At 52.5% G+C, this 6,173-nt stretch overlaps 3 annotated features.

Moving 5' to 3' along the window:
• Positions 158-217: an enhancer, noted in NCBI's record as "active region_28056". NCBI's record gives its function as "activates an Ori minimal core promoter by ATAC-STARR-seq in GM12878 lymphoblastoid cells {active_cell/tissue: GM12878}" and the evidence as "EXISTENCE:reporter gene assay evidence [ECO:0000049][PMID:35858748]".
• Positions 1,331-2,071: an enhancer, noted in NCBI's record as "OCT4-NANOG-H3K4me1 hESC enhancer chr8:143111623-143112363 (GRCh37/hg19 assembly coordinates)". NCBI's record gives its function as "activates a minimal SCP1, AML or CMV promoter by ChIP-STARR-seq in naive and primed H9 embryonic stem cells {active_cell/tissue: H9 hESC(naive and primed)}" and the evidence as "EXISTENCE:reporter gene assay evidence [ECO:0000049][PMID:30033119]".
• Positions 5,391-5,891: an enhancer, noted in NCBI's record as "H3K4me1 hESC enhancer chr8:143115683-143116183 (GRCh37/hg19 assembly coordinates)". NCBI's record gives its function as "activates a minimal SCP1, AML or CMV promoter by ChIP-STARR-seq in primed H9 embryonic stem cells {active_cell/tissue: H9 hESC(primed)}" and the evidence as "EXISTENCE:reporter gene assay evidence [ECO:0000049][PMID:30033119]".

Below are 6,173 nucleotides of genomic sequence, written 5' to 3' on the forward strand. Positions count from 1 at the left end.
TGGGAGGTGGAGCTTGCAGTGAGCCGAGATCACACCACTGCACTCCAGCCTGGGCGACAGAGCAAGACTCTGTCTCAAAAAAAATGCTACCACCTGCTGACTCACACTACAACAAATGCTACAGGAAGTCTTGCAGTCAGAAGGAAAATGATGACAGATAGTAAGATGAATCCACACAGAGGAATGAGGAGTGCTGAAAACACTGCCTACATGTGTAACATACAGGATTTCTTTCTTAGAATTTAAACCTCTTTAAAGACCCTATGGTGCGGCCATGTGTGGCTGGGTGGGAGCCAGCCTGTGGCAGCATCAGGGCGTAGCCCAGGGCCAGCGTTCCGTGGTAAGCACAGGTTGAGTTAGGGCTGGTGGTTGATATAGTAGAGGATTGTTTGATGTGTCAGTCAGCCCAGGCTGCCATCACAGCACACATAGGCTGGGGGACTTCAACAGCCGAGGTATTTTTCTCACAGCTCTGGGAAGCTGGAAGTCTGAGATGGAGATGTTGGTAGTGTTGGTTTCTTCAGACGCCTCGCTCCTTGGCCTGTAGACGGCCGCCTTCTCCCTGTGTCCTTGTGTGGTCTTCCCTCTGTGTGTGTCTGTCTCCTAACCTTCTCTCCTTTAAGGACACCAGGCAGATTGGTTGAGGGCCCACCCGAAGGACCTCATTTTGACTTAATCACCTCTTTGAAGGCACTATCTCCAAATACAGTCATATTCTGAGGCACTGGGGGTCAGGCTTCAGCAAATAAATGTTAGAGGGGACACAACTTAGCCCATACAGTTGGTGATCAGGACCTGAGGCAGGCTCATGAGAACTCAGGAGGACCTGAGGTTTGAGAGGCCGCAGGAGGGGAACACTCTCCGTCCGCGCATGGGAGGCACCATGGCTCTGGGCTGGCTCTGTGGAAGACAGTGACTGCCTGTACCCAGGTGGGCTCCGGGGTCCTCCTCTGGCTCTGGGGAAGGCAGTCAAGTTGCCCTGAAACCTTGGCCCAGCATCCTGGGAACCAAGAGCCCCATCTGTTCAGGTAAATGAGTCAACAGACGGGGCCAAGAGCCCCCGCGGCTGCCCGAGAAAGCCCTGCACGTCTCCAGCCCTCGCTGCAGCCGCCCACTCCGAGGAAGGCTGTGAACCTTTCCTGACCTCTGCTTGCCGCCAGTTCCTGGCCCTTTGTGGGAAGTCCCAGGATTAAACACCACTTGGGGTTTATTTACTCAGCTCTGACAACCACAGAAATCAATGCTGCCGTGAACTTCTGGCCGAATCTTTTATGACTGCTTTTAATGTCTGACTTTTAAGCACTGGGACTTCCTCTGGAGGGCCTGCTTCTGTCTGCAGGTGTGAGTGCACGCTTGTGCATGCGCAGGCCAAATGTGTTCCTTTTTCGAAGCATACATGGCCTGAATGCCCGTGTGAGGTTGGGTGTGTTCACATGTTTGCACGTGTGTTTATCATGTTGGCAGGTATGCCTGCTCAAAAGGATCTGCCAGGTGTGTGCTCACGGGCCCTGATCACATATGAACACAGCTGTGTGTATGTGGCTGGAGGCTATCCAGGTGTGCATGTGTGTGTCCATGCTCACGTGCACAGGCATGTGTGTGCTCCAGGGAGCAGGTGCACAGCCTGCATTTTGCATTTAGACTCATCAATGTGAAAACAGACCCACAGCTATAAACTCTGCTTAATCCGAAGCAAAAAGAGAGAGAGAGAGAATGAGAAAGTGAGAGCACTATTTGCATCACTTAACCCTGAATGTGAACCTCATTTTGGTGGGAAATGAACACAGCCGGAGTCCTTAAAAATCCATCAGACCCATTACCATGCCTGTAGATTTCAAATAAGCCCGCGAAAGACCTACTGGCAAGTGACATTTCTCATCCTGGCTTCCCTGCCTGGGCTTTCTCCAGAGCGATACTTATCAGCAGGGCCTGAAAGAATGAAAAACAGGTCCAAGGCATCCTCGGCCTTAACATCTACCTGTTGGGCCGCATGAGACAAGCCCGCAGCTGGGCCACCCTGTGGTTTTCACGTTCTGAGGCAAGCTTGTTCAGCTCCCTCCTCCCAGCCCCAGTCAACAGACATAGTTCCCTCCGTCTGAACCCCCTGAAGGACTGCCCAGGATTACACAATAAACTGTCTAGTGGTGTCTTCTAGCTCTCCCTGCCAGACTCTTGGGTTGAGGTTTAGATCATATGCGTCTCCCCAGCTTGTTCCCTAGAAGAGGCAGAGTGTAATCAGTGCCTTCTGACAGGCCCCAGTGTCTCAGCTCAGTCCTGCAGGTCACACACTGCTTAACTCCAGGGTGCCAAGTCACGCCATATTCTATGTGCTCAAGAGCAGTGCTACTTGAGTTGAGCAGTGCACAGCTTGTGCACCAGTCCATGGCAGACCCGGTTGGGCCCACACTGTCCTGCCTGACTCCTGGCAAAGAACCCAGCCTTGGCCTCCTCACAACTTTCCTGGGGCAGGACCCAGAGCTGGAAGCATTAGGAGCTTCTTTGAGGTCATGTTCTTTTCCTGAGAGTAAATATTCTTTGTGGCTTCCTGGGATAAGTCCAGGTCAGGTTCATCCAGCTCCCTGACCCTGGGAAAACCACTCACCCTCCCTGTACCTCAGTGTCTTTATAACAACACCTGCTTGCCTCCCTGGAGGCTGCAGGGTCGACATAATAATGGTTATGAAGGTGTTTGGTTAGTGGGGAGGACTTGTTGATACTATGAATCATAGTAGAATAATTTGAAAATACAACACTCATAAGAAGTTTATCATACTTTGATCGTGGTGTAGCACTGATCAGAGCCATTTTTACATGAGTTTCCCTACCCTAAGAAGCACAGTATGGAGCTTGTAGGAAACATGAAATAAATTCTGGTTGACACCATTAGAGAGGCCTGGACTGGACTGAAATTTGCTGGATGGCAAGTTCATGACCTAAGAATGCAAAATACCACAGAGCCAGTGGCTTCAACAGGCATTTACTCCTCTCGGATCTAGAGGCTGAGTCCAAAATCAGGGTGTGAGCCAGCTCCGGTGTGGTGAGGGCCTGTGGCTTGACATGTAGATGGTGCCTTCTGACTGTGTGCTCACGTGGAGCGGGGAGTGGGGGTCTCTCTCTCTTCCTCATCTCATAAGGCCACAGTCTACTGGATCAGGGCCCACCCTTAAGACTTCATGTAACTTTCATTGGCCCCTAAAGACCCTATCTCCAAATACGGTCTCACTGGTGGTGATGTTCTGGAACCCAAGGGGGGTCCACTCTCCCCACAAGGTAACATCAGACGTCCACACAGAGGTTCGAGTGGGAGAAGGGTGTTTATTTGCAGGCACCAAGGAGGGGGGCCCCAGCAGGGCACACTTAAGTCCTGACCTCCCCAGTGGCTGGCAGATAAGGGTTTTTAAAGGCAGGGGCACGTTTCAGGAAAGCAGAAGTTGAAGCAAAATTGGAAATCAATCCTCGGAGGTTACACATTGGTTTTGGCCTCAAAAGGCAGATGTCTTGAAGTGGAGGCTTACAGGTCCCAGGTGGATTCAAAGATTTTCTGATTTGCAATTGGCAAAGGAAGAGAAGTTTTGCTTAAAAATTTGGGATCAGCAGAAAAGAATATGAGTTTTGTCTCATGGATGCGACTCCCTCCAGGCCCCTCAGGAATAAATATAGAACAAAGAACGGCGGCATCCGAGGCCTGCGTGCCCTCGGATCGGATCCAGCGTGGAGATCCAGGTTTCTGAAAAACAACTCAGGGACTTACTTGAAGAATGCTATCTTCACCTGTCATCCCAGCACTTTGGGAAGCCGAGCCAGGCGGATCACCTGAGGTCAGGAGTTCAAGACCATCCTTGCCAACGTGGTGAACCCCGTCTCTACTAAAAATACAAAACTTAGCCGGGCTTGGTGGCTAAGTAGCTGCCTGTAATCCCAACTACTCAGGAGGCTGAGGCGGGAGAATCGCTTGAATCCAGGAGGCAGAGGTTGGAATAAGCCGAGATCACACCACTGCCCTCCAGCCTGGGTGACAAAGCGAGACACCCTCTGAAAAAAAAAAAAAAAGTATTACCTTTAGTTTCTTAGTTTCCATAGGGGAACCGAACATTCCGTGATCCTGGCTCCCTCGGCTGTTGTTTTATGATACCATTAATCTCTTGTCTACCAAGTTGCCCATTCACTTCCCTGGGTCAGCCGAGAGCCTGGAATTCCCCTGAAGAAACTCAGGATTTTTCTTTATTTCCATGTTTGGGGTGAGGGGGCGGCCCGCAGGCCCCTAAGAGGGGCCCCTGCTCCATCTCACTTAGGGCTAAATATGTGAATTGGAAGGGACATAACGTTGTCTGTGGCACCTTCCAAACATGACGTGGGCACACGCAGCGGATTCACCAGGTGGCCCTGTGGGCAGGGACTCAGGCAGCAGGGATGATTGGCAGGTGCCTCCGTTGCGCCCCAAGAGCAAGACCTACTCGGCCTGGAGTGAAATTTCAAAAAGTCAGCCTGGCTTCCATGGTGGCTGCAACTGCCCAGCCCCATTTCTCCCATCTCTTCCTTACCCTGAAATCCCTGTGCTCCTTCTGGTGGGGGGCCTTCCCTGGAAATCACGCTAATCACAGCGTAGTCCACACTCCGTGCTCTGCAGATGTCTGTTTCTATCTCTGGACAAGTGTCTCAAGAGCAAAGGCCGCCTCTTACTTGTATTTTTCTATTTCTGAAAGCTGGTTAGGGGCTTATGTAGCCTGGACGCCCCTCTGCCATCCCTGAGTAAACGGGAGAGGAAACGCACCCAGGAAACAAAACCTTCTTTTCCTCTCAAGGCCTCTCTTTTGCTTAGGAGCATTTATCAGGAACTTACAAATTGAGACTCATTTTCTAAAACCAACTGAGTTGATGCCTGTCCAAATTATAGAGTTTTAAAGCCTTGCGATTCTGTGAGAACATGAAAGTTATACAAACCGGGTGAACAAATTCACTAAGTGAGGTTCTGTAGAAACTGCTTCCACAAATACATAAGAGTTGCTTGTCATTATAACGTCAGTTGCATGGGAAGGCGTTCCTAAAGCACCGCAAACTCCTGTTCTCTCAGGTGGGCCAAAAGCCCGTCCTGCAGCCAGGCCTAGACTCCACCACTGTTGAATGACGCCTTGGCACAGAGCCGGCTAGAATGTGCCATCCACCTCCTGCAGGGCGGTCAGCAAGTGGGATGATCCCCACTAAGGGACAGATTTGGTCATCAGGGTCAAGACTCTGGTCCACTCAGCAAATCCACCCGGGGTCCCACTGCTTGTCGGACCCCCTTCAGGATCAGGGAACCTGCAGCCGTGGTGGATAGCACCCCAAGGTCTACCTTGCAGAGACCTCTCTCGTGGAGAGAGACTGGCCATCAGCAGGGACCCCACAGCCAGGAGGAGAGCAAGGCTTCTACTAGGAAGGGGCCCAGCCTGGCTGCTAAAAACCATCTCCAGAGTCACCTGGGTGTCACGAGGGGAGGCCGCCTTCAGGTGCACACCTGCACGGTGGTCTGGGTGTCGGGAGAAGAGGCTGCCTTCAGGTGCACTTCTGCATGGTGGTCTGGAGAGGCTGGGGAACCTTCCTCCCTCCACGTTTCTCTGGCTGTCCCTGGCCCTGTGTGGCCTCAGACAAGCCTTGTCCACCTCTCTGCACCAAAGAAGTGAAATTGTCCTCAAGGTTCAGATGGTGGCTGGACACTCCTAGCCTCTCCGCCATGACCCAGGGCTGGGGGTGACACCCTCAAACCCTGAGGGGATACTAAGGGTCAACAGGACACCTGGACCAGAGGAGCTGTGAGCAGGCAGCAAAGGCCACCCGTGTGGTGTCTCCTCTGCATCCTCCCCAGCAGCAGACCCAGGCCTGGCCCTTTCCAGCTTGGTTACCTGTGCGGAAACCCAGAGCCTGGCAGCAGTCAGAGCCATGAGAGCAGCTCCCATTCAGGATGATGCAGTGGGGTAGAGGCCTCAGGAGGACAGGGCCCGACCCCCAGCACAGTGCAGTCCAGTGGGGATTACTGCTGGCAACAGGGTGGGGTTGGAGGATGGAAAATGACCAGGAGGAAGCAGCCAGAGTGAGGGGATTCTGGTGGAACCCCCTAACAGAATGCCTGCTGAAGGCAGGCCAGCGGACCAGGCCTCCCTTGGAGGGTGGAGGATGGAGAACCTGGTTAGATGTAG

The sequence above is a fragment of the Homo sapiens genome, chromosome 8, assembly GCF_000001405.40.
Source record: "Homo sapiens chromosome 8, GRCh38.p14 Primary Assembly".
Classification (NCBI taxonomy): domain Eukaryota; kingdom Metazoa; phylum Chordata; class Mammalia; order Primates; family Hominidae; genus Homo; species Homo sapiens.